The following is a 27,955-nucleotide window of genomic DNA, read 5'->3' on the forward strand; positions in this document are numbered from 1 at the left end:
GGCCTGGCTTCATCAATTTGTTGTCTTGCTTTGTTTTTTAGAGAGTTTTTGTTTCACAAAACAAAACACCTCTGGTCCTGTAAATACAGAGATTTGCACAAAGAACTGAGCGTTCCCACTTCATTGCTAGACAGGTGGAGATATTTATGACAAGGGCACCTGGTGCCTGGTGAGCAGGTGCATGGCCTGTGTGCAGCGCAATGAGACAGGGTCCAGAGAGGTAGGATGCATGCCCGCAGGTGTGGAAGGGATAGCCAGCCAGACAGTGCACCCTCTGGCTCTAGACTGTCTGGCCCAGCTGCCTAATGCCTACAGCCACATACAAATGTGCCCAGGGCAGCCAAGGCAACTTTACAAGGTGCCTGGGACTGTGTATCTCTCAAGACTAAGGGAGAAAATGTTCACTGTATTCATGACACCAGGAAAAGTGTGGGAAAGCTTTCATTAGGCAGAAAGGGAGTTGAAATAACCTGAAAGTGTACAGAGACTTTATTTCTTCTGTGTTACCCATGTGGAAACATGAAGATGTTGCTTCCCGTCCCTGCAACTCTGAGACCCCATAGGAAGAAATGTATGTGCAATTTCATGAAGAGCTTTATGTGATCCTGGGGAAATCAACATACTTGTTTGTTAAGGGGGATTGAGAGCCTTTGGAGTTTAGCCAATATGAACTCAAGCTAGGGCCTGTCATCCTTCCTCATCCCTCAAGGGAGGAAGTCATATATTAAGAAGGTGAGCTCAGAAGTCATCACAGAGGAGGACTCCACTGCCCTGGCCACCCACAGGGACCCTCACAGGCTTTCTGTGTTGGACAGTGATAGCAGAAATAGCTCTAGTGTCATATGGTCCTTTCTCCCTTCTTGCTTTTGTAGGAATCCAAAGCTAATCTGTCCCTGATCCGGATTGCACGCACCTGTGCCTTTTGGGGCCTTTCTGCATTAGTTCTTCCTTCTCTTCTAACCTCAAAAATGTGTTTTCTCTGTTGGCTCTTTCCCTTTAACATAGAAGTATACTCACGCTTTTGTTGAATCTTGAAATAAAAGGCTTCCTTTACCACATATCTCCCTTTAATACTACATCTCTCTTCTCAGCCAAATACTTGGGAAGAGAAGCCCTGAGTTTGTGTCATTGTTTTCTCACCTCCAGTTCACTACTTTGCCCACTGCCTGACATCCAGCTCGCTCACACACACACCCAAGCCCAATCACTAAGTTGCCATAGCTAATTTGTAGCTTTCCTGCCTTCCTGGCAAAATTTGACTCTGCATTGGGATAATACATGTCGAGTACCTATTGAACAGGCACTGTGCTAGGTGCTACTGTTATAGATATGAAAAGAAGGCATCATCTCCTTTCTAACAACTCACAGGAGCAGCCATTTCTGATTCATACATGTCTCTTGACTCCCAGTGCTCACTTTTGCAAGCTTCACTTAATGCCGTGCAAATCACCCTATTCTCCAGGTCTTCTTTCTTCCCAGTTCTCCTTACTATACACAGCTTCTCAAGGCAGTCACCTCCACACCCATGGCTTCAATTGCTTTCTCCATTCTCTGAGAACAATAGAATTTTAAATGGTTTTATTTCATGTATTAGCTTTATTTTATACAAGGTGCCTCACCTGCTGTAACCATAGATTCAAAGTTGCTCCATGAAAGTAATAAATGAAAAATGGTGATTTTTTAGCATGTAAATTTTAGGAAATTTCCCCAGTTACGCTTAATGGCTTGATTTAGTGTGTATGTTATTTTTGAAAACATATGTTGGGATGTCACAAATGGACTTAGCCTACAGAGATTTATATTCAACTTTTGACCAGAGAGTTCCATTTTAATGTGACACTGAGAGTAAAAAACTATCTTTTCCTCCTTACCTATTTCTCTTCCTACATTCTCGGCCAGGAGGAAGGCACTGCTACATACCCAGTCTTCCCCAGCAGAGCCTGAGCAGCTCTGTTTTCCTTCTACTTCCCCTCTTCTTTCACATCTCATGACCAAGCACTTCCTATTCTGTCTCCCAAATGATCACAGACTTTTTCCTCCACTTTTGTCACTGCCACTGCCCTTAGCATTACTCTGCCTTTAGAGAAAGTCTCTTAATTGGTTGGGTTGCTTCCTTCAGTCTTTATTATACAGACCACTACACGCACATCTGACAGAGACTTTTCACCTTTTTATGGTTGAATGACTGAAATTCCCAGAATAAAATTAAAACCACCCCAGCATCAAATTTGAGGTCAAATAGAGGTGGGTTTGTATCCCAGGTTCATATACTGTCCAGCAGTATGGTCTCAGAAAACTGACCTCCTTAAGCCTTTGTTTGTGTATCTGCCTACACTCATTGAGAGTTGGGACTATTTCACACATATAGTGCCTGGCATGTAGAAGGGACTTAATCAATGTTGAAAGAAGGGGAGGCATTTTAAAATCCACATCAAAAAAATGTTGTTCTGTTCGGGAGTGGTGGCTCACGCCTGCAATCCCAGCACTTTGGGAGGCCAAGGCAGGTGGATCACCTGAGGTCAGGAGTTCGAGATCAACCTGAGCAACATGGTGAAACCCCATCTCTACTAAAAATACAAACATTAGCTGAGCATGGGGGCGGGATCCTGTAATCCCAGCTACTTGGGAGGCTTAGGCACTTGAATGAGAATCACTTGGACCCAGGAGGTGGAGGTTGCAGTGAGCAATGATTGTGCCACTACCTGGGCAACAGAGTGAGACTCTGTCTCAAAAAAAAAATAAAAAGTAAAAAAAATTCTTTTAAAAATATACGAATCTGGCTGGGCACGATGGCTCATTCCTGTAGTCCTAGCACTTTGGGAGGCTGAGGCGGGCCTGACCAACATGGAGAAACCCCGTCTCTACTAAAAATACAAAATTAGCCGGGCATGGTGACGCATGCCTGCAATCCCAGCTACTCGGGAGGCTGAGGCAGGAGAATCGCTTGAGCCCGGGAGGCGGAGGTTGCAGTGAGCCAAGATCAGGCCATTGCACTCCAGCCTGGGCAACAAGAACGAAACTCCGTCTCAAAAAAAAAAAAAAAAAAATAGTGTTCAGCAAGGTTGAAGCATAAAAGGTTAATAGCCAGAATCATTTATCAATTGTATTTCTATACATCTACAAGACACAATCTGAAAATGAAATTAGAGAAACAATTTCACTGGGCAACAAGAGCAAAACTTCATCTCAAAATAATAATAATAATAATAATAATAATAATAATAATAAATAATAATAATCTACAATGTCATTTCCCATCCAAGCCTGACTTCTACCTTTACTTTCTGATATGGTTTTGCCATGCCCCCACCCAAATCTCATCATGAATTATAATCCCCATAATCCCGATGTGTCGAGGGAGGGGCCTAGGGGGAGGTGATTGGATCACAGGGGCAGTTATCCTCATGCTGTTCTTGTGATATTCAGTAAGTCCTCATGAGATCTTATAGGGTTTTGTTTTGTTTTGTTTCTTGGGATGGAGTCTTGCTCTGTTGTCCAGGCAGGAGTGCCATGGCACGATCTTGGCTCACTGCAGTCTCTGCCTCTTGAGTTCCAGTGATTCTCCTGCCTCAGCCTCCTGAGTAGCTGGGATTACAGGCATGCACCACCACACCCAGCTAATTTTTGTATTTTTAGTAGAGACAGGATTTCACTACATTAGCTAGGCTGGTCTCAAACTCCTGACCTCAGTTGATCCACCTGCCTTGGCCTCCCAAAGTACTAGGGTTACAAGTGTGAGCCACCGTGCCCAGCTGAGATCTGATGGTTTTATACATGTTTGACAGTTGCTCCTTCACATGTTCCCACTCTCTGTGCGGCCACCATGTAAGTCGGACCTGCCCTTCTGCCATGATTGTAACTTTCCTGAAGGACTTCCCCCTCTGCCATGATTGTTAAGTTTCCTGAGGCCTCCCCAGCCATGTGAAACTGAGTCAATTAAACCTCTTTCCTTTAAAAATTACCCAACCTCAGGTATTTCTTTATATCAGTGTGAAAACAGACTGCTATACTTTCTGATACTCATGCTTAAGCAATTGGGGAATTCAGACTACCTGGGATCAAACTATGGCCCCACCCTTAGCAGTCATGTGACCTTGGGGGGGGGGGTTACTTACCTTCTCCGTCTCAACAACTTCTGTAAAATCTGTAACATGAGATTGTTTCTGAGGGTTAAATGAGCATAGCACAGTGGGGACACTGTCAGGCACACACTACTTGCCAGATGTCGAGTATTCATCTTTATTGAACTAGGACTGTGGTAAGCCACTTTATGGCTCTCGATTTTGTATGAGAAAATCATGCTTAGTGCCTTGTTAGTAAAAGAAAGAAAATCTGAAAGTCCCTGCCACAGAAGGAAGAAACAGCGGGGAGAAAAGGGAGTTGGTAAGTTTCAGCATTTCAGAGCTTGGAGGGGCAAGTTAGGTTTCTATTTTATGGAGAAGGAGGTGGAGGCAGGATGGGTCCTAAGGTGTCATTCAAAACACACAGCCATAACTCTTTATTGAGAGTAGAGCTAGGGCCCCAGGGATTGCTGTGGTCAAGTTGCGGACAAAAATGACCACTCGTTGGAAGACAGGAGAGGAGTGTTTAGTTACAAAAGCAGTCAACAATTCAGGTGTATCTATATTCAGACAGCAAATAAAAGTTGTTCAACTTGGTTGCTAATGGGACCCACTCTACTGAGGCTTTGTGTAGAACTCGTAGAGGAAGCTGGCTTCGAGGAATGAACTACCCTGTGCTTTTCTTAGGACTAAAATCTCAGGAAGCTGGTGATGAATGAAAACCTTAGTCCCACTGGCACTGCACGAGGGGCCAGGAGAGCAGCAGCATCATAAGCCACAGGGTGGGGCAGCCAAGGCAGGGGCATTCTGAGCTGTTGGGGAGGGGTGGCAGGCAGGGTGGGGCACTGTGAGCTGTCGGGGAGGGCATTGTGAAGTGTGGGGTGGGGCATTGTGTGCCACATGCCTGGGCTCCCACCTGGGGCCAGTGGGCTTCAGTCTGTAGGTGACTACAGAAGGAGGAGGAGCTCCGTCTGTTCTCTCTTCAGGCAGTTGTTGTGTCTCTCAGCGCTTGTTGGGTTCACAACCTAATAAATAAGCCGGCTGGTCTTCACCCTCCCAGACAAGTCAACTCAGGGGAGGCAGCAGGGTGCGGGCCTTGGCCCGCAGCCCTAGCCGGGGCCGGGGCCGGGGCCGGGGCCAGGGCTGGTGCCTGGGGCCGCACTGTGAGGTGGGCAGGCGAGGAGCGGGAAGACCATCTCTGCAAGTGCAGCATAGCCTCGGCCTAGGACAGCGGGAGTGCGTGGCCAAAGCTGTGAGCAGAGGCACAGGTGGTGGCAGACAGTAGAGGCGCCCCATGGGGAACATACTGACCTGTCGTGTGCACCCTAGCGTCAGCCTCGAGTTTGACCAGCAGCAGGGGTCGGTGTGTCCCTCTGAATCTGAGATCTATGAGGCAGGAGCTGAGGACAGGATGGCAGGAGCGCCCATGGCTGCTGCTGTACAGCCTGCTGAGGTGACTGTTGAAGTTGGTGAGGACCTCCACATGCACCACGTTCGTGACCGGGAGATGCCTGAAGGTAAGGAGGTGATAGGTGCCATCTACCCTCGGTTTGCCTCTGGCTGCTGCTGTCCCCAAGGTTCCCTTTGAGGCATCCCCCACTTCGAGCTCCTTTCTGCTTGTAGCCAGCTTTCCCGGGGGCTGGCCAGGAACAAAAGCTGGCTCTGCCTTGAATTCCCACCCCTTAGTCTTTCCCCACCGAGTCCAGTCAGTTTCTTTTCGCCTCCCCTCCCAATCGCCCAGTTCTTGCTCTCTCACCTCATTCTCCCAGGCTGGCATGGGACCATTTATTTATGGCTCTTGTCGAATAAGCAGCAGTTGAATAAATGAGTTGATAAATTTTTATAAATGATTACGTCCTTTTTCTTTTCTCCCTCTATACATATAGCTTTGGAGTTTAACCTTTCTGCCAATCCAGAGGCAAGCACAATATTACAGAGGAACTCTCAAACAGATGGTGAGACAACAGTGTCTGTAGCTCTGTTTATTATCCTGTGGGACTTTGTTTAGGCCTCTTTGAGCTATTCTCTTCCTTTTCTCAATAAAAACTCAAATATCCCAACTTTTCAGTACCCATCTTAATTTTTCTTTGAACCTATCCAGATGGTACCTAAGTGAAGGAACCAGGTAAGTGCCTAATTGTTTCCTTTGTTAAAGTAGCCAAATCTCAGGACAGTTCCTATTCAAATATTTGGGGATTTCTTATTTAAAATCAGAATGGAGTTTGCCACGGGAGAGGCTATATGGTATTCTTAATGGGCTGCTTTAAGTCACCTTGATAGAAGCTGCTTAGTTTCTTCTAACTGTAATTTGAACACAGAAGGAAAAAGAAAAAAGGAGAGTGCTTAAAATAATTGTGAAAGGTGTAAAATGTCACAGCCGGGGCTGCAGAAAAATGGTTGTGTGTGTGTGTTTGGGGTTTCTCAAAGGAGTTTACCTATGAGGCTCTGATTACTTTAAAATTCTTACTTTAACAGAAAATGTGTCTCCAGATTTATTCTGGTGACTTAACAGACTTTATTTACCTCCTTGTTCTAAAAGGGAGGTGGGGATTGGTTCACGGTCAAAACTTTCAAAAGACATGAAACGTCAATGTAGACTTTTAATGTGTAATATAAAGATTGCAGGTTAAAATGTCAGACCTTCCCTGTAAGAGTGTTTGTTGCCGTGGCTCCCCCTTTGTCCCTTCCCCTCCTGACAATAGCATCTTGTTCAAAGATAAGAAAGTTACAGTTTTGGCTGGGCTTGGTGGCTCACGCCTGTAATCCCAGCACTTTGGGAGGCCGTGGCAGGCAGATTACCTGAGGTCAGGAGTTCGAGACCAGCCTGGCCAAGATGGTGAAACGCTGTCTCTACTAAAAAAGAAAATACAAAAATTAGCTGGGCGTAGTGGCGCATGACTGTAGTTCCAGCTACTCACAAGGCTGAGGCAGGAGAATTGCTTGGACCTGGGAGGTGGAGGTTGCAGTGAGCAGAGATCACGCCAATGCACTCCAGTCTGGGTGACAGAGCAAGACTCCGTCTCACAAAAAAAAAAGGAAAGAAAGTTGGAGTTTTTTAGTCTCTACACTGTCGGCAGAGGCAGGGGATGGGAGCCGGTAGAAAAGAGAAAACAATTAGTTGGTTTGCCTCTAAAATTTTGCAAAGAGATGAATCTAAGTAAAAGTAATTCTGGGTAGTAATATGGTTCTTGAATAAAAACTGAAATTTTCAAAATAGAAAACATTGCATCATAAACATATTAAATCCAGTAGGCTTATTGGTTTCATTTAAATGCCAGAGATTTCATTACTGTAGAGGAAATGTCTTATAGCTCTTCTATTTAAACTTTGGTCGGGCTCTTAATTTTTAAAGAGGTAGGATAATTAAGACTCATTATGAGTGTGACTTTGTAACTTGGAAGTACTATCTTCACATTTCAAGGTATTTAAGGATTGCTTTAGAATAAACAAATGCATTATGTGAATTAATTGATTGTACCTTTATACACAAAGCATGTAAGTACTTGTGTAAACTTATACTCTGCTTGGTGATGTTCGGAAAGCCTGATGGATGTTACACACCAGTTAGTAGATGGGTAGTGTTGGATGAGAGCCCAAAAATGGCTCTTTATTGTCATTCTTTAGGATTACAGCACAGTTTATGTATGTCTCACTTGGCCCTTTCCAATACAAATAAGGCCTGTGTATGTTCTCCCTATGTATTGCTAATGAAGAAATGAAAACTTAGAGATATCACATGACTATGGAAGACAGCTACTCAAGAGAACTAAGGTTCTGTGTCCTCAGAATGAAATGGAAGTGACAGATATGATGAATTTACTTTTTAAAAATTTTAAAAACTCTAGAATACAACTTATATTTTGCCTATAAAATAGACTGTCTTTTAAAACTTACTGCCATCTTGATTTATTTTATGCAAAGTTGATTTTACACAACTCAAAGCCAAAATTTACCTCTTCTTTTTTTTTTTTTTTTTTTTTTTTTTTTAAATAAAGGAGGGTGTCATTGTGTTACTCATGCTGGCCTCAACTTCCTGACCTGGGTTCAAGTGATTTTCCCATCTCAGCCTCCTGAGTAGCTGGAACTACAAGCATGTGCCATCTTGCCTGGCTCTATCTTATGTCTATACATTCATTTCAATGGATAAGAATCAAAGTAGAGATAGTGAAATAGCCTAAATGCAGCAGTCGAATAAACGAGTTGATAAATTTTTATCAATGATTGCATCTCTTTTTCTTTTCTTCCTCTATGCATATAGCTTTGGAGTTTAACCCTTCTGCCAATCCAGAGGCAAGCACAATATTCCAGAGGAACTCTCAAACAGATGGTGAGACAACATTGTTTTTTCCGCCAAGAGAAAGAATAAAAGCTCTTGTTTGATCAGGTTATAGAAAGTATTTAGAAAAACTCATATTGGTTTAAATTTTTCACCTTTTCACATGTTCACTTGTCTTATTTTAATATGTGATATACTTTCCTTTAGTTGTTATGATGTTAGTGAAAACGTGTAACCTTTTTGTTTATACATTTTGCCATCTTTTTATCAACACAATTAATTTGTCATGTGTTGGAGGAGTCATGGATTTGTCTTTATAATTCTTGGATTTATCTTTATTTATAATTAATGGATTTATCTTTATTTATAATCCCTTTTCCCTTGCTCCAAAAAGTACACTTTAAAGATGAATGATAGAACTTAGGCTTCAGCTTGGTTTTCATTTAAACAAATTAAAAAACATAGTCGTTTATCATCAGGGATTGAATCTGTGATTTGGGCCTCCTCTTACACAGTCCTCTGACCACATTCATTTACCACATCCAAGTTTACGCTACTCAAAAGTTTTAGGTTATTAACTTTTTCATTTGATATAATGTAAATTTAAACATGCCTTACTCCTGCTTATTTCCCTTAATGTTATATTAAATCCTCATTTATTTGCCAACAAGCCATACACAGCCAAGTTTTCCAGTTGACTTAAACAGCAAGAACACAAGTGAGGGTTCTATAATAATGTGCGAAGTAATGCAGCACAGTAAAACACGGGAGTTTGTAACCTTTGTTTTTATAGTTTGAGTAGACTTTGCCCATCTTGAGTCAGTTATTTCTGGTTAGAATTTGTCTTCATTTTTTACATTACTATAAAGAGATACCTAAGGCTGGGTAATTTATAACAAAAAAGAGGTTTAATTGGCTCAAAGATTTTCAGGCTGTACAAACATGGCTTTAACATCTGCTTCTGGTGAGGGCCTCAGCAAACTTACAATCATGATAAAAGGCAAAGGGGAAGCAGGTGGTTCCACACGGTGAAAGAGGGAGGAGAGAGGGGAAGGGGGAAGGTACCACACTCTTTTTTTTTTTTTTTTTTTTGAAATGGAGTCTCACTCTGTTGCCCAGACTGGAGTGCAATGGCACAATCTTGGCTCACTACAACCTCCATCTCCCAGGTTCAAGCAATTCTCCTGCCTCAGCCTCCCGAGTAGTTGGGACTATAGGTGGGCACCATAACACCTGGCTAATTTCTGTATTTTTGGTAGAGACAGGGTTTCACCATGTTAGCCAGGCTGGTCTGAAACTCCTGACCTCAAGTGATCTACCCGCTTCAGCCTCCCAAAGTGCTGGGATTACAGGCTTCAGCCACCGCACCTGGCCAGTACCACAGTCTTTTAAATTACCATAATGAGAATGTGCTTATTATCATGGGGATGGGACCAAGCCATTCATAAGGAATCCACTGCCATTACCCAAACGCCTCCCACTAGGCCCTGTCTCCAACATTAAGGGTCACATGTTAACATGAGACTTGGAGGGGCAACATATCCAAAACATATCAGAATTGTATTTCCCAGTTCCTTCCAGAGCCATGGGCTTCTCACACCTAGAGAGCATGGAAGCAGTAAAAGAAAAGCTATTCCATGTCCCTCACTCTTCGGTGGTAGGAACTTTTGCCTACAAGGCCCTTCCAGCATCAAAGGCAGAGGCAGTGTAGGAAACAAAGCATGGCCCAAGTCCCTCTTGGGGCTTTTATTATTCTGGCCTCTTTTTAGAGGAAAAAAAATGATTTTTTGAGCTGCAGACACCATGTCCAATTAGGTTTGTATACTCATTTTAACATCAAAATTTAGGCCAGGCTCTGTGGCTTACACCTGTAATCCCAGCTCTTTGGGAGGCTGAGGTGGGTGGATCACGAGGTTAGGAGGTCAAGACCATCCTGGCTAACACAGTGTAACTCTGTCTCTACTAAAAATACAAAAAACCATTAGCTAGGCATGGTGGCACGTGCCTGTAGTCCCAGCTAGTCAGGAGGCTAAGGCTGAAGAATTGGTTGAACCTGGGAGGCAGAGGTTGCAGTGAGCTGAGATCCCGCCACTGCACTCGAGCCTAGGTGACAGAGTGAGACTCCATCTCAAAAAAAAAAAAATTAAGCTACGTTACTTTCCAGTTGTGTAAAGACCGTTTTTTAATTTTGATTTGTTTTTAGTGACATATTAGTAGATAACCACTAAGTGTGGTTCAAGATGCTTACAGGGATTCTGTTGCATCTAGAGATAGGTGTCTGGTCAGGAAGTAGTTCTTAGAGCTGTTAGCTCTTAGAGTCTGATAATTAAAGTAAGCTATGTGTAAATGCAGAATGAGAGAATACTAATGGATCATGGCTCATATATGCAACAGTTAAACTTTTTATTAGCTAAATTTTTCATCTGGCCTAATTTTTTTACCCTTTTCTTTTGTACATGAGGATTCTTTCATTTGTATGTAATAGAAACAAAAAGTAAACTAAATGAAAAACTAAGTTTTTAGATTTGACTTATGAAATTAATCATGCCAGATAATTTAAATTATAAATTATTGAAAATTATTTTTTTAAATGGAATTTTGTCTCATTTTACATAGGAGTAATCAGTAAGATGTTAACAACTACTTTTATTTTATGGTATTTGTATCAGAAGTGACCAGTTTTTTTTTTTTTATTCTTAGTTGTAGAAATAAGAAGAAGCAACTGTACAAACCATGTAAGTAAACACTCAAATAGTTAAGAAATTGATAGTTTGACATAAAAGGATGTCTCTCTTGATTTCTTTAAATTACAATGTGGACCTGGTGGTGGTAGCATGGACCTCTTTTTGTGGATTTTCTAAATCTCTTCTATTTTCCTGAGTATTAAATTTATCCAGAAAAGTGTTTAGCTTAGCGTGTCCACCTTTTAAAGATTTCTGACATTTAAGTTAAATTTCAATAGTCTGGTTCAAAAGATCCGCCTTAAGGCTGGGCATGGTGGCTAACGTCTGTAATCACAGCACTTTAGGAGGCCAAGGCAGGCTGATCATCTGAGGTCAGGAGTTTGAGACAACCCTGACCAACATGGTGAAATTCTGTATCTACTAAAAATACAAAAGTAGCCGGGTGTGGTGGTGCATGCCTGTAATCTCAGCTAGTCAGGAGGCTGAGGCAGAAGAATCACTTGAACCCAGGAGGCGGAGGTTGCAGTGAGACAAGATCGCGCCATTGCACTCCAGCCTGGGCGACAGAGCGAAACTCTGTCTCAAAAAAAAAAAAAAAAAAAAAAAGTGCCTTAAATATTTAATCTTATTTTTAATGAAAGAACAAAAATAGAATAGTTAAGTTAATTGCCAGCACTGTCTATTGACTTTCTATCACAGCAGGTAAAAGCGTACCTTCCCCGCTACACCATGATCTTATGTTTCTCCCTGTGTTTCTTCCAATTGTAGCACACTTTTTAATTAAATCAGTAATATTTACATGATTATGACTCTGCAAATATTATTCACTGCTAAGTCATATGGTGTTTTCACTGTGCCTCTGCATTCCATGTCCTTCATCCTGTCTCTGAAACAGTTCTGAAATCTGAGCACTTCTGCAATTCTCCTGGATCTTCTTTTTTCCTAGCCTACGTTAGTTTATCTATCCAAATATCGTTAAGTAGCCTCTGGGTGCTCTGTTTGCTTTCACATCCATTATTTTTTAGCATGAAGCTAATTTTCTGACTATATTCATTTGCCTATTTTCTAACAGCTGTTTTTCCCCCAAGTATTGTAGCATTTATCACATGCCTTTCAAAGACATTTTCCATCTGCAAAAACACATCTGTTCCTTTTTATGTGTGTGTGGGGGGCAACTTTCTTTGGCCTTTTGTCATCCTAGTTCAATATAGCGTGGGTTTCCCTAGATATGCTCGATGTCTGCTTTTCTGGGCTAACTCCTTAAAGTCTTTTGGGATCTCACGTAACTGCTGTCTTGTGTGGGATCGCCTGAGTCCTAGATTCTGTGTTTCCTTCTGTCCTGTTATCGTCTCTAGTTGTACTTGAACACATTTTCCTGGGTGGAGATGTTAAAATCCCTCCTCTTTGATAGAGAGTACACCTCTAGGTTGAATCTAAATTGTATGGTTCTGAAGACATTTTGCAGTTGTGCTCTTATTACAGTGTTGTTCTTGAATCTATTGCCAGTGTGTGATATGTTATTTACAACCAGGTTTTAGTTATCTGCGGAAGCTTTTTAGAATCTCTCTCTCTAAGGTTCTGAAATTTTATAACAGCTTGTTGGGGATCTTTTCATTTTATTGAGGCTACTAAACCTGCAGACTATCTCTTCTTGAGAATTTTTTTTTTATTTTCTCTGTTACTTTTTTACTGATAGTCTTGTTATTCAGATGCTAGGCTGCTTAGACCAGTACACCTGCATTGATTTTTAATTTTTCCCCTTCTATTTTTTTCAGTTTGTCTTTTTATTCTAGTTCTGGGATATTCTGTGACTTTATCCTCTACTATTTCTATTGAATTTTGTATTTTTTGAGAGTGTTTTAAGATTTTTTTTTAAAGTTTTGCTCCTGATTTTGACTGGTCCTATCAATTCCTTTTTTCTATTGTTTTGATCTCTTTCCTTGGAGGCTTCCCTCCAATGTGTGGTGGTCCCTGGCCTGCTTTATTTGGAAGCAGGATTTCTGTTAACTGATAGCACTCAGTGTGAGGCCTTAGAAGCCTGACTAGCTTTTCATTTGGGAGACCTCAGTGTATTATCTGGGGATCTTTATTGAAGACATTTCAGTTTCTTCTGAGAAGGATCTCCCAATTTTCTGCCTGGAAAGTAAAAGCAGGCCTGGAAAGGAAAAGCAGAGTTAGCAAAGACAGTTGGAGTTCCATTTTTGGTGTACAGTTTTCTTTATATCTCAGGTTTAAGCCATAGTATCTCTGAGCCAGAAATTCTCAGGTTTGATATATCCAGAGAACACACATCTAAGTTTCTTGTCAGATGGAAGGACAGGTGGACTTTGGGCTCTAGTTAGAGATTTGCAACTGACCTTGCTGGCTTTTTTTTTTTTTTACATTTTACCCTACTTTCCAAAGTGCCATTTGCCTGTAAGTTCACAACCTGCCTTTAGTTCTGCAAGACAAACTGGCTCGCTTCTGTTCCAGTCACTTTCTGTAGTCAGCAAAGTTGTGTTTCTGTGTTATTTACCACTCCTTTGTCTACTTTTTATGTCTCAGCATTTACTAAAAATTATCTCTGTCAACCTTCTGTGCTGGTCATGGGTGTAACCTTTATTTTATGACTAATGAGGCTTCCAGAGGGAGACGAAATAAATTTGTGGTCAATCTATTATATTTAATCCAAATTTAGGACCTATGTTTAAATCAAAGTCTAATTTGAGTATAATGATATTAAGCCAGAGAATTTTTTAAATTAATGTATCTATAATAAGCATATTACACTTTTCTCCTAAGGCCTTGTTTAATATTTTCATTCAAAGTTTATCCACTGCCATATGCTTCCCATTACTTCACAACATAAATGGAGCTGTTTTCCTGAATGCCCAAGGTGTTAGAAATATTTAAGTTAATTAAGATTTGTTCATTTTTAGCCTGGTCAACATAGCAAGACCTCATGTCTACAAAAAGGTTAAATAACAAATTAGCCAGGCCTGGTGGCATGCGCCTTTCGTATTACCTACTCAGGAGGCTGAGGCAGAGGATCACCTGAGCTCAGGAGTTTGAGGCTGCAGTTAACTATAATTGCACCACTGCACTCCAGCCTGGGCAACAAAGGGAGACCCTGTCTCGGAAAAAGGAAAAAAGTTACTAATTCTTTAAAAACCTATCTAAAATTTGTCCTGCCCAAAAGGAGAGTGAAAAATATGAACTTTAGTCTTTGTTTTTTTTTTATGTTTGCTGAGAAAAATGCTGTACTTTATTTATTTATTTATTATTTCCATAGGTTTCTGGGGGAACAGGTGGCATTTGGTGACATGACTAAGTTCTTTAGTGATGATTTGTGAGATTTAGGTGCACCCATCACCTGAGCAGTATCCGCTGAAGCCAATTTGTAGTCTTTTATCCCTCACCCTCCTCCCAGCCTTTCCCCCAAGTCCCCAAAGTCCATTGTATCATTCTTATGGCTTTGCATCCTCATAGCTCAGCTCCCACGTATGAAAGAGAACATGATATTTGGTTTTCCATGCTGAGTTATTTCACTTAGAATAATAGTCTTACTTCCACCCAGGTTGCTGGGAATGCCATGAATTTATTCCTTATTATGGCTGAGGTGGTATTCCTCATATATATATATATATATATATATATATATATATATATATATATGTATGTATATCACAGTTTCTTTATCCGCTCATTGACTGATGGGCATTTGGGCTGGTTCCATATTTTTGTAATTGTAATTTGTTTGAGTTCCTCATAGATTCTGGATAATAGCCCTTTGTCAGATGTATAGACTGTGAAGATTTCCTCCCACTCTGTGGTTGTCTGTATACTCTGCTGATTGTTCCTTTTCCTGTGCAGAAGCTCTTTAGTTAAGTCTCACCTATTTGTTTCTGTTGCATTTGCTTTTGTGTTCTTGGTCATGAAGTCTTTGCCCAAGCCAGTATCTAGACGGGTTTTTCCAATGTTATCTTCTAGAACTTTTATGGTTTCAGGTCATAGATTTATGTCCTTGATCCATCTTGAGTTGATTTTTGTGTAAGCTGAGAGTTGAGGATCCAGTTTCATTCTCCCGCATGTGGCTTGCCAATTATCCCAGCACCATTTGTTGAATAGGGTTTACTTTCTTCACTTTATGTTTTAGGTGGCTTTGTTGAAAATCAGTTGGCTATAGGTATTTGAGTTTATTTCTGGGTTCTCTATTCTGTTCCATTGGTGTATGTGCCTATTTTTATATCAGTACTGTGCTATTTTGGTGACTATGGCCTTATAGTATAGTTTGAAATCAGGTAATGTCATGCCTCCAGATTTGTTGTTTTTGCTTAGTTTTGTTTTGGCTGTGCCGGTTCTTGTTTAGTCCATATAAATTTCAGGATTGTTTTTTCTAGTTCTGTGAAGAAGGATGGTGGTATTTTGATGGGAGTTGCATTGAATTTGTAGATTGCTTTTGGCAGTATGGTCATTTTCACAATATTCATTCTACCCATTCATGAGCATGGGGTGTCTTTCCATTTGTCTGTGTCCATGACTTCATTCAGCAATGTTTTGTAGTTCCCAACGGCATATCAAAAAGATAATCGGGCCAGGCACGGTGGCTCACACCTGTAATCCCAGCACTTTGGGAGGATGAGGCGGACGGATCATGAGGTCAGGAGTTCGAGACCAGCCTGGCCAACATGGTGAAACCCCATCTCTACTAAAAATACAAAAGTTATCCGGGCGTGGTGGCGCTCACCTGTAATCCCATCTACTCGGGTGGCTGAGGCAGGAGAATCGCTTGAACCTCGGAGGCAGAGGTTGCAGTGAGCCAAGATCACCGCACTGCATATTCCAGCCTGGGCAACAGAGCGAGACTCCATCTCAAAAAATAAAAAAAAGATAATCCACCATGATCAAATGGGTTTCATACCAGGGATGCGGGGATGGATTAACATACACAAGTCAATAAATGTGATACACCACATAAACAGAATTAAAAACAAAAAATCACATGATCATCTTAACAGATGCAGAAAAAGCATTTGACAAAATGCAGCATCCTTTTATGATTAAAACCCTCAGCAAAATCAGCATACAAGGGTCATAGCTCAATGTAATAAAAGCCATCTATGTCAAACCCACAACCAACATAATACTGAAAGGGGGAAAAGTTGAAAGCATTCCCCCCGAGAACTGGAACAAGACAAGGATGCCCACTCTCACCACTTGTATTCAACATACTACTGGAAGGCCTAGCCAGAGCAATCACACAAGAGAAAACAATAAAAGGCATGCAGATCAGTAAAGAGGAAGTCAAACTGTTGCTGTTTGATGATGATATGATCATATACCTAGGAAACCCTAAAGACTCCTCCAAAAAGCTCCTAGAACCGATAAATGAATTCAGCAAAGTTTCAGGAGACAAAATTAATGTACACAAATCAGTAGCTCTGTTATACCCCAGAAGTGACCAAGCTTAGAATCAAACCAAGAACTCAATCCCTTTTCTGATAGCTGCAAAAATAAACTAAAATAAACTAAAATACTTCGGAATAGACCTAACCAAGGAGGTGAAAGATGTCTACAAGGAAAACAACTTTAGTATTTTTAATGGGTTAAAATGAGAGGCAGCAGGTACAGCAGAAGTCAGTGCGTGGGCATACGCATCCAATGGGTACTGCACCTTTGATGGTAAGGCTTTGGTTTTGACTTACTAAATTACTAGGTACGATTATTTTCTAGTTTTTGTCATTAAACCTTAAAACTACTAAGTAACCCCTTCCATTTCTTGTTAAATATTGTAAAATTTCATACTCTCATTTATGCTGACTGACGTTAGATTGTTTGTTTCTATTTTGTGACTACCTTAAATAATACCTATAAAGAGTAAACTGTTAGTAGTGTTTTTGCTGTAATTAAATGTAGTAAGACTTACCTTCCAAATGATGACTGAATTGTCAAACACTTGTCGAAGTTTTGGATTTACTCAAAATTCTATGCTCAGCAGCTGGAGGTAGGAAGAGTAAGGGCCCTCCCTTACTCTTATGGAGAGGCATACTTTCTCATGAGGGGAATACTCTGCAGGAATTAGCATCTTGTAAGCAGTGGTGAATTCAACTAATTAGTGTATAAAAATACATTTTTTGGTGTGGCTGCCGACAAAGAGATCCAAGAGGGTAGATGGAGTCGAGCTTGCTGAAGCAAGGAAAGAGAAAAGCAGTATTCTAGGCAGAGAGCAGGGGTAGAGCAGGAAAATGGCTAGGTGCAGGTCAGATGATTTATAGAATGCAATTGATCAAGTTTTGAAGTGAATGCAAAGTATTCTCCGAGAGTCTCATTTGAGTCATGTCTTGGCAGTCTTATTTAAACATGAAGTGAAAGTTAGATTTTTTAAGTTGTCATTTGTTTTTAGGGTGTGAGAGAATATTTAAGTGATACTCTTTTTATCCTCCACATAAGAAAATAGGACTAGAGAAACCTATGGCTTCCTCACTTGTTGGTGGCCTAGCAGCCCTGGCACACAGAGCCCCTGAATCTGAAGCACTTCTTTTGTAACAATATCACCTGAAATAATACATTTAGGATTAGTAATTTAGTAAATGCATTAGTCTTGTATTCACTGCAATAAAATGCTCTTGTAGCAGGATTATTTAATACACTACATTTTATCGTAGTAAATAAATAATAGAAGGGCTGGGCGCCGTGGCTCACGCCTGTAATCCCAGTACTTTGGGAGGCTGAGGCAGGCAGATCGCGAGGTGAGGAGATCGAGGCCATCCTGGCTAACACGGTGAAACCCCGTCTCTACTAAAAATACAAAAAGTTAGCCGGGCATGGTGGCGGGCGCCTGTAGTCCCAGCTACTCAGGAGGCTGAGTCAGGAGAATGGCGTGAACCCGGGAGGCGGAGCTTGCAGTGAGCCGAGATCGCGCCACTGCACTCCAGCCTGGGCTACAGAGCGAGACTCCGTCTCAAAAATAAATAAATAAATAAATAAATAAATAAATAAATTAATAGAAATTCTTGGCTGCTTTTTATTGCTGTAGAAAAAAATATGAAATCTCATTTTAAACTTTTCTTTCTTTTTTTTTTTTTTTTTTTGAGACGGAGTCTCACTTTGTCTCCCGGCCTGGAGTGCAGTGGCGCGAACTCGGCTCACTGTAAGCTCTGCCTCCTGGGTTCACCCCATTCTCCTGTTTCAGCCTCTCGAGTAGCTGGGACTACAGGGGCCTGCTACCACGCCCGGCTAATTTTTTGTATTTTTAGTAGAGACGGGGTTTCACCATGTTAGCCAGGATGGTCTCGATCTCTTGACCTCGTGATCTGCCCGCCTCCACCTCCCAAAGTGCTAGGATTACAGGTGTGAGCCACCGCGCCCGGCGAAGCCGACTTTTCCCATTATTTTTAACGGTAATTCATAAAATCCTTGTTAGGTTTGATGACAGGTACCATATTAAGGGCAGCATTTTATAACCCATATCTTAAACATCATCTCTGGAAGTTGAGAGCCTCCAATGGGTTTTCTATAGAGTGCACATGATACCACACTCAGGCAGTTCATGGAGTGTAAGACATATCTTAGTGCTTTGTCATTTGACATTTTAACTGAGAAAAAAATACACTTTGATAAGTTTGACTTACACTTCCCTTCCCCTTCAGGTATCTACTGAGCGTTTCAGTCAACAATACAGCTCGTGTTCGACAATATTCCTTGATGACAGCACAGCCAGCCAGCATTATCTTACAATGACAATAATATCGTGAGTACAACTATGCTGCCGAGGGACAGATTCCTTTATTCGGAAATTATTTCAGCCATTTGGTTGTCCTCTTCAGCAATCAGCTTAAGAAATTGGAGTCAACCATATATTGATATCCAGATTCTCAATATTAAGTATCAGTTTCTCTTTTAATCTTAGACGTCGTGGTGGAAGGAAAAATCAGTTAGCAAAGAAGCAAACCCAGAAACAGTGTATCTTTTTGATGCCTTTATGCCTTTAGACAATGTTGAACACAGTGAGAAGGATAGGTTCCCTTTCTTGAATGTTTTTTGTGGAAACTTAGTTTTTCAATGCATCATAGGCCCAAATCAGTGTGCACTACTTTGGACATTATCCTTGGAAGAAGGAACAGCTTTTCTTCTTCTGGCACCACAGTGTATCTGCATTTGAATTTCTCCCATTGTGCATGAGCACCTCATGGGCCACAAAGATGCGCTTTGAGAGCACCCTGAGATGAAGTTTATTTTAAAAGGAACAACAACCAACACCACCACCAGCTCCACAGGGGCCGTCCAGTGTACATTATTCTCATCTCCTTGGGTTATTAGTCTTGATTTTTAGAACACAGTTTGGAAAGTGCTAATTTAGAATATTAATGTCTTTATCTTTAATTTAACTTTTCATTCTGTAAACATAACTAGCTTATAAACAATTTTGTTTCAAATGCACTAGCCTTTTTAGCTAATTCAATTGTCAATAACTTTTACTTCAATTAAAAGTGGCAAGTTTACACTCATAATAATGTCACTTTCCTCCCTCCCTTTTAACAATAGTTGAGAGGAAATTGTGTTTCAAACAAAAACTGAACTCAAACTCTGTCTCAAGTCCTGAGCTTTGGGACCTATTGAGTAATCACTAAATGTCTGTAGTCAGCCAAGTCTCTTAAATCTCTGAGCACACATACACAAAAATTACTTTGACTAGAGTCCCTGGCTTCTTCTGAGTTCCAAAGATTTTGATAAGTTAGCATATAATTCAAAAGCAGCTTTGAAGATTAATTTTGCTGAAACTAATTTCGTGCTTTTTTCCTCATTATTCTACTTTTTAGAAGTCTACTTTTGAGAGTATAGTAAGTTTTAATTTGCCACCAGCAAGTTTGAGAAATGATCATTTGGTGTATTCACTATTGGTGAAATAAAGTTATTGAACAAATTAATAGGGCAAATTGGCTTCAAGAAGATATTTTGAAAAATGTTTTATCATGAATCAGTAGTGCACTGTTGTCAGTGGGATAGGTGGAACTCGCTGAGATCACTTATGCAAGGTTTTTTTCAAAATGCAAGTCTGCAAATACATGTATCTTCCCATCTCCACTTTCCCTCTATCTCTAGGCACTGAGAAGCCTTTTAGGAAAATCGGGATGGATGTGAGGCATCTTTCTGTGAAGAAAAGCATCCCAGAAGATTCTGATTTTCACCCCAGCTCAATCATTCCAAACTTTGCTGCTGATTGAAATCACCTGGGAAACGTTTACCAAGAACCTTGATGCCCAAAGCCATACCCAATACTAATTAAATTAAAATGTCTCATGTGGAAGATGAGGCAGATATTAAAGCTTCTCAGGCGATTTTAATGTGCAGCAAAGTTTGAGAGCCACTGCTTAATTTGAGTTTAGGACGAGAAACTGCTCCTATTTGGTGGGACCTTGGGCAAGTCAGTTTTAAGGTTTGTTTCCCTGATCTGTAAAACGAGTGTTGAATTAAATGTCACATAAGGTCATTGGTCCTTTCCAGCATGTAACTTTAAATTCTGTGATTTTAAAATTATTTCAGAGATGAAAACTACTTGAAGCACTATAGACATATCCATCTCACATGCTAATGTTACAGGCTTTTTAAAAAGTGCTGATATTGTGTAGACCTATTAGTAGAATTGAGATTTACCTTCCCTCAGTTGTTTTGAGCCTCACTCTACAAAATTAGCTGGGCGTGGTGGTACATGCCTGTAATCCCAGCCACTTGGGAGGCTGAGGCAGGAGAATCTCTTGAACCCGGGAGGCAGAGGTTGTGGTGAGCCGAGATCACACCATTGCACTCCAGCCTGGGCAACAAGAGCGAAACTCCACCCACCCTCCCCCCCAAAAAAAAATTATCTGGGCATAGTGGCGCAAACTTGTAGTCCCAGCTTCTTGGGAGGCTGAGGCGTGAGAATCGCTTGAACCTGGGTGGTGGAGGTTGTGAGGAGTCAAGATGGCACCACTGCAGTCCAGTCTGAGCAAGAGAGACAGACTCTGGGTCAAAAAATAAATAAATACATAAAATAAATCGCATGGGATGAAAGGTTTCGTCGGTAGAAAAGCATATAAAAGGGACATCTGTTATTATTTATATATTGTAATCACCAACAGAAACGCGTCTTCTAACGGCATATTTCCTTGCATTTTGGTTCTCATATTTTTGTAAAAAACAAAGAAATGAAAACAAAGTGCCCTTATGGTACTGTTCTGAACTAGAAGATTTGAATTTCAGGGCCGCTAGGAGAGTTTCCTCTGCCCCCCTTTTAAAAAATGTCTTCAGGCCTAACAAATGATAACATCTATTGTTATGAATTTTTTTTCCTTCCACAGTGTGACCTTGGAGATACCTCATCATATCACACAAAGGTGAGCTTTTTAGAAACCTGTCTTGTTATTCTAGCTAATTACTTTGCAAGATATCAAGCACAGTGTTAGGTCACAGCTCTAGACATCATAAGCTGTATTGTGCCTACTAAAATATCGAAGCAAATTATTTGTATTTTCTTTGTTCCTTAAGACTCTCATAATTCTTAAATGATTGAGAATCTCAAAGAGTATATGTTTATATTGATTATATTGATATTTAGTGTGGTAGAATTATACAATTGAAATTTTTTCAAAATCTATTTTTAGTTTAGATTTCACAGCCTTACCACTGTTGATATTATGGGCTAGATAATGCTTTGTTGTGAGGACTGTCTTGTGCATTGCAGAGAGTTTAGCAGTATTCATGGCCTCTACCAACTAGATATCAGTAGTAACCCATGACCCAGGTTATAAAAACAGAAAATATTCCTTGAGAACAGTATTGTTAACAGAAGTTTTTCATTGAAAAAAAACTTTTCTACAACAAAAAGTTGAGTAAAAAGTGTGTCATTTGTTTATATTATTTAAAGTCTCGCATGTTGAGCTTAATAGGAGACAAATGGATTCTCTAGAGCTTTCTTTGCAATTTGCTTCAAAGAAGCAATATGAGGCTGGGCACAGTGGCTCACGCCTGTAATCCCAGCACTTTGGGAGGCTGAGGTGGGCGGATCACAAGGTCAGGAGATCGAGACCATCCTGGCTAACACGGCGAAACCCCGTCTCTACTAAAAATACAAAAACTTAGCTGGGCATGGTGGCACGCACCTGTAGTCCCACCTATTCTGGAGGCTGAGGCAGGAGAACCGCTTGAACTTGGGAGGCGGAGGTTGCAGAGAGCTGAGATGGTGCCATTGCACTGCAGCCTGGGTGACAGAGCAAGACTCTGTCTAAACAAACAAACAAAAAAAGCAATAAGCTGGTGGGGCGCAGTGGTTCACACCTGTAATCCCAGCATTTTGGGAGGCCGAGGTGGGTGGATCACTTGAGGTCAGGAGTTTGAGACCAGCCCGACCAACATGGTAAAACCCGCCTCTACTGAAAGTACAAAAAGTGGCTGGGCATGGTAGTGCATGCCTGTAGTCCCAGTTACTTGGGAGGCTGAGGCAGGAGAATCGCTTGAGCCTGGGAGGTGGAGGTTGCAGTGAGCCGAGTTCTCGCCATTGCACCCCAGCCTGTGTGACAGAGAGAGACTCCGTCTCAAAAAAAGAGAAAAAGAAGCAATAAGATGACCTAACCTCATGCAAATATGTAGTTGGTAGAAGATGTATTTTTAAAGTTTTCAGACAGTTGTGGGTATTTGTTAAAACACTAAATCAAAACTTCACAAGTGGTGGTTTCTTAAATTAGTTACGGTGGCATTTTACATATTAATAAATTTATTCCATCAGTACTCATTGATCTTTCTTGCACAGTAAATGGATCTTTTGCTCCATACTTGCATTTATAATATCATGCATTAGTTACTTGGAATATATTGGTTTATGTTTTATTGTGTCAAAAATCACTTTTAGTTTAACCACCAATCTTACTTTAACACGCCTTTAAGTATTGAAAAGCTGCCAAGCCTACAGTAGAAGGAACAAGTTTTTCAAAGTCCAGAGGAAAGCTTAAATTTTATCATTGGGAACAAATACGTATTTCCCTTGAAGTGACAACCTCTCACTTCATTTATTTTTGAGAATGATAGTTGAACTGGTTTTTTAGACCGAGTTTCACTCTGTCACTTGGCTGGAGTGCATTGGCATGATCTCAGCTCAAGCAATCCTCTCACCTCAGGCTCCTGTGTAGCTGGGACCACAGATGTGTGGCACCACGCCAGGCTAATTTTCTTATATGTTTGATAGAGACACGGTTTCGTTATGTTGCCTAGGCTGGTCCCGAACTCCTGAAGGAGCTCAGGCCATCTGCCTGCTTTGGCCTCTCAAAGTGCTGGGATTTTACAGGCGTGAGCCACTGCGCTGGCCCAGTTGTACTTTTAAATAAAAATGATGTTCTGTGAAAAAAGTGATTTTTCAGTTCACAGTTAAATCACGGATTCTTTAAAAACAAACAAAAAAGCACTTCTCATTAACTTTCCACTTATTCAGAATATTAGAGACATGTCAAGATTTAACAACATTAATTTTTATTGCTTCATCAAAGACGTTCTTAAGAAATTCAGGCTATGTTTTTTACCTGTAGGGGACAGTGAAGAATAGAATGACTACTAATGTAATTGGTACCACTGCCTTGATTTATGCTGAGAAACCAGCCATTGTACCTACTTTTGCTTTTATACAATCATGGCAAGTGTCAACGAAAAAGCAGGCAATGACTTTCACAAATTTTTAAAATTTTTCATCAGCTTTCTCAGGTTTAATTAGTATGATTCAGAACAGTGTTGGCCAGGCACAGTGGCTCAGGCCTGTAATCCCAGCACTTTGGGAGGCCGAGGCAAGTGGATCGCCTGAGGTTAGGAGTTCAAGACCAGCCTGGCCAACATGGTGAAACCACATCTCTACTAAAAATACAAAACTTAGCCAGGAGTGGTGACAGGTGCCTGTAATCCCTGCTACTTGGGAGGCTGGGGTAGGAGAATCACTTGAACCTGGGAGGCGAAGGTTGCCATGAGCCGAAATCACACCATTGCACTCCAGCCTGGGCAACAAGAGTAAAACTTGGTCTCAAAAAAAAAAAAAAAAAAAAAAAAAAAAAAGAACAGTTATGACCTCTTAGGCCTTCTGGAAGGGGTCTTCGGGATCCCGAGAGGTCCACACAGCACATTTGGAGAACCACTGGTTTATACACAGGCACAATGCATTAGTTTTACAAAGTTTAAAGTTCATCAAAGACTGGCCTCTTAAAAAGGCAGGTGAGTTTGTCATTCAGACAACAGAAAATACATAAAAACATCATGAGAGTATACTACAGAGAACTAAAGAGAAAGGAAGCTAGGAAATCTGAATCACATTTACATTTATTAAAGTTTACTACTACTGCTTTGTAGAACATTCTTGTGTTTCAATGTGTGGTTAGAAGAGTGAAAATATGTTTGGTTTATTGCCATGGCCTGTTAGGGAGAGTCAATACTCATGGGCATTTCTGACTGGTTATCATATAAAAGGCTTCACGGTACAGGCCATGATGTACTGAGAAAGAAGAAGTCAGGAAACCCTCTGCAAGTCAGGATCCAGGAGAAGAATTCGTAAAAACTGCTTTGGTAAAGTAAACACCAAAGCACACAGGAGGAAGTATTTTACTCAACAAATATTATACTAAGATATTAACAGTTTTTGAAGTAACGCGCTTTCTTATTTTATAGAGATGCAGATAGATCTTTGAGCATACCTGATGAACAGTTAACTCATTTGCGGTAAGTGGCACTTTTATTGAGGTTGTATTTTCATTGTACACTTGTATCTGTTTCATGCTGAAGTCAAAGCCATCTTTTTTTAAATCTTCCCCATTTCATGTTGCATTTAGTCATCTTAAGTGTTGTAAAAAGAATGTGCTGGAGTAAGAACTGATCTGCAGCTCTGTTTAGTTAGTGAGCTAGTATGAGTAAATATACTATCCAAACAACAGAAAATGTATCTTTTTTTTTTTTTTTTTTTTTTTTTTTTGATGGACTCTCTTTCTGTAGCCCAGGCTGGAGTGCAATCGCGCGATCTTGGCTCACTGCAGGCTCTGCCTCCCAGGTCCCTGTTCAAGCAATTCTCCTGCCTCAGCCTCCCGAGTAACTGGAATTACAGGCATGTGCCACCATGCCCAGCTAATTTTTTTTTCTTTTTTCTTTTTTTTGTAAAGACAGGGTTTCACCATGTTGGCCAGGATGGTCTTGAACTCCTGACCTCGTGATCCACCCACCTTGGCCTCCCAAAGTGCTGTGATTACAGGTGTGAGCCACCATGCCTGGCCCAGAAAATGTATCTTTTTAAAAGGTAATTGTGAGCTGTCTATAGGACCCTGCAAGCCACTACCCAATTTTTGAAGCCATTCCTCCTTCTGTTCCACACAGGTTTCCACCGTGCACATTACGAAGAACAGAAATGGAGGTGGGAGTTTAAATAACTATTCCTCCTCCATTCCATCGACTCCCAGCACCAGCCAGGAGGACCCTCAGTTCAGTGTTCCTCCCACTGCCAACACACCCACCCCCGTTTGCAAGCGGTCCATGTGCTGGTCCAACCTGTTTACATCTGAGAAAGGGAGTCACCCAGACAAAGAGAGGAAAGCCCCGGAGAATCATGCTGACACCATCGGGAGCAGCAGAGCCATCCCCATTAAACAGGGCATGCTCTTAAAGCGAAGTGGGAAATGGCTGAAGACATGGAAAAAGAAATACGTCACCCTGTGTTCCAATGGCGTGCTCACCTATTATTCAAGCTTAGGTGATTATATGAAGAATATTCATAAAAAAGAGATTGACCTTCGGACATCTACCATCAAAGTCCCAGGAAAGTGGCCATCCCTAGCCACATCGGCCTCTGCACCCATCTCCAGCTCTAAAAGCAATGGCCTATCCAAGGACATGGACACCGGGCTGGGTGACTCCATATGCTTCAGCCCCAGTATCTCCAGCACCACCAGCCCCAAGCTCAACCTGCCCCCTTCTCCTCATGCCAATAAAAAGAAACACCTAAAGAAGAAAAGCACCAACAACTTTATGATTGTGTCTGCCACTGGCCAAACGTGGCACTTTGAAGCCACGACATATGAGGAGCGGGATGCCTGGGTCCAAGCCATCCAGAGCCAGATCGTGGCCAGCCTGCAGTCATGCGAGAGCAGTAAAAGCAAGTCCCAGCTGACCAGCCAGAGCGAGGCCATGGCCCTGCAGTCGATCCAAAACATGCGTGGGAATGCCCACTGTGTGGACTGTGAGACCCAGAATCCTAAGTGGGCCAGTTTGAACTTGGGAGTCCTCATGTGTATTGAATGCTCAGGAATCCACTGCAGTCTTGGCACCCGCCTTTCCCGTGTGCGATCTCTGGAGCTGGATGACTGGCCAGTTGAGCTCAGGAAGGTTATGTCATCTATTGGCAATGACCTAGCCAACAGCATCTGGGAAGGGAGCAGCCAGGGGCAGACAAAACCCTCAGTAAAGTCCACGAGGGAAGAGAAGGAACGGTGGATCCGTTCCAAATATGAGAAGAAGCTCTTTCTGGCCCCACTACCCTGCACTGAGCTGTCCCTGGGCCAGCACCTGCTGCGGGCCACCGCTGATGAGGACCTGCAGACAGCCATCCTGCTGCTGGCACATGGCTCCCGTGAGGAGGTGAACGAGACCTGTGGGGAGGGAGACGGCTGCACGGCGCTCCATCTGGCCTGCCGCAAGGGGAATGTGGTCCTGGCGCAGCTCCTGATCTGGTACAGGGTGGACGTCATGGCCCGAGATGCCCACGGGAACACAGCGCTGACCTACGCCCGGCAGGCCTCCAGCCAGGAGTGCATCAACGTGCTTCTGCAGTACGGCTGCCCCGATGAGTGCGTGTAGTATCTGTTTTATTTGACTGCAGTCTCCTTGGTGCAAAAACAAAATGGGAAAAATAAGGATAACTCAGAATTTCAAAAGGAAATCACAAATTCAGCTAGTAATAGCATTTTCAGTACTTTTCGTAAACTAAGTGAATACACAAAATGTTGATTTTTCTGACCATAAGACATATTTTATGTCCTTTTGCCAAGGTGGATGTGTTAGTCTCAGGCCCTCCTGGCCACATTGCCCAAGTCACACAGGCTTCTGTATTATGTATTTAGATAAAATGTGTGAAAATATATTTGAAAAAAAGTTCATAAATATGCATTGATTTTTGTACACATGGCACCTCTTTTTCATTTTTATTTTTATTTTTTTTTTGGACGATGTTTTGCTCTGTTGCCCCAGCTGGAGTGCAGTGGCATGATATCTGCTCACTGCAAGCTCTGCCTCCCGGATTCACACCATTCTCCTGCCTCAGCCTCTCAGGTAGCTGGGACTACAGGTGCCTGCCACCACACCTGGCTAATTTTTTGTATTTTTAGTAGAGACGTGGTTTCACCATGTTAGCCAGGATGGTCTCGAACTCCTGACCTCGTGATCCACCTGCCTCGGCCTCCCAAAGTGTTGGGATTACGGGCGTGAGCCACCGTACCCGGCCCATGGCACCTCTCTTAATTTATAAATTGAACTGGATGTGAAGTAATAATGTCAGCTAGTTGAGATAAGAAGGTTACAGTTCGGCTGGGCGCAGTGGCTCACACCTGTAATCCTAGCACTTTGGGAGGCCTAGGCGGACTGATCACCAGGTCAGGAGATTGAGACCATCCTGGCTAACATCATGAAACCCCATCTCTACTAAAAAAAAACAAAAAATTAGCTGGGCATGGCCGGGCGTGGTGGCTCACACCTGTAATCCCAGCACTTTGGGAGGCCGAGGCAGGCGGATCATGAGGTCAGGAGATCAAGACCATCCTGGCTAACATGGTGAAACCCCATCTCTGCTAAAAATACAAAAAAAAAAAAAAAAAAATTAGCCAGGTGTGGTGGCGGGCACCTGTAGTCCCAGCTACTTGGGAGGCTGAGGCAGGAGAATGGCGTGAACCCAGGAGGTGGAGCTTGCAATG

At 41.8% G+C, this 27,955-nt stretch overlaps 1 pseudogene across 1 annotated transcript; it reads left to right on the forward strand.

Annotated features, from left to right (window-relative positions):
* Positions 1–5,392: 5,392 nt before the first annotated feature.
* On the forward strand, positions 5,393–25,996 carry AGAP14P (ArfGAP with GTPase domain, ankyrin repeat and PH domain 14, pseudogene; annotated as a pseudogene). Its single transcript, NR_165820.1, has 8 exons — positions 5,393–5,578; positions 5,948–6,016; positions 8,320–8,388; positions 11,038–11,072; positions 18,650–18,750; positions 21,338–21,373; positions 24,675–24,725; positions 25,371–25,996. The product of NR_165820.1 is annotated as an ArfGAP with GTPase domain, ankyrin repeat and PH domain 14, pseudogene (transcript).
* The last annotated feature ends 1,959 nt before the right edge of the window (positions 25,997–27,955 follow it).

This window comes from Homo sapiens, chromosome 10 (assembly GCF_000001405.40).
Source record: "Homo sapiens chromosome 10, GRCh38.p14 Primary Assembly".
Lineage (NCBI taxonomy): Eukaryota > Metazoa > Chordata > Mammalia > Primates > Hominidae > Homo > Homo sapiens.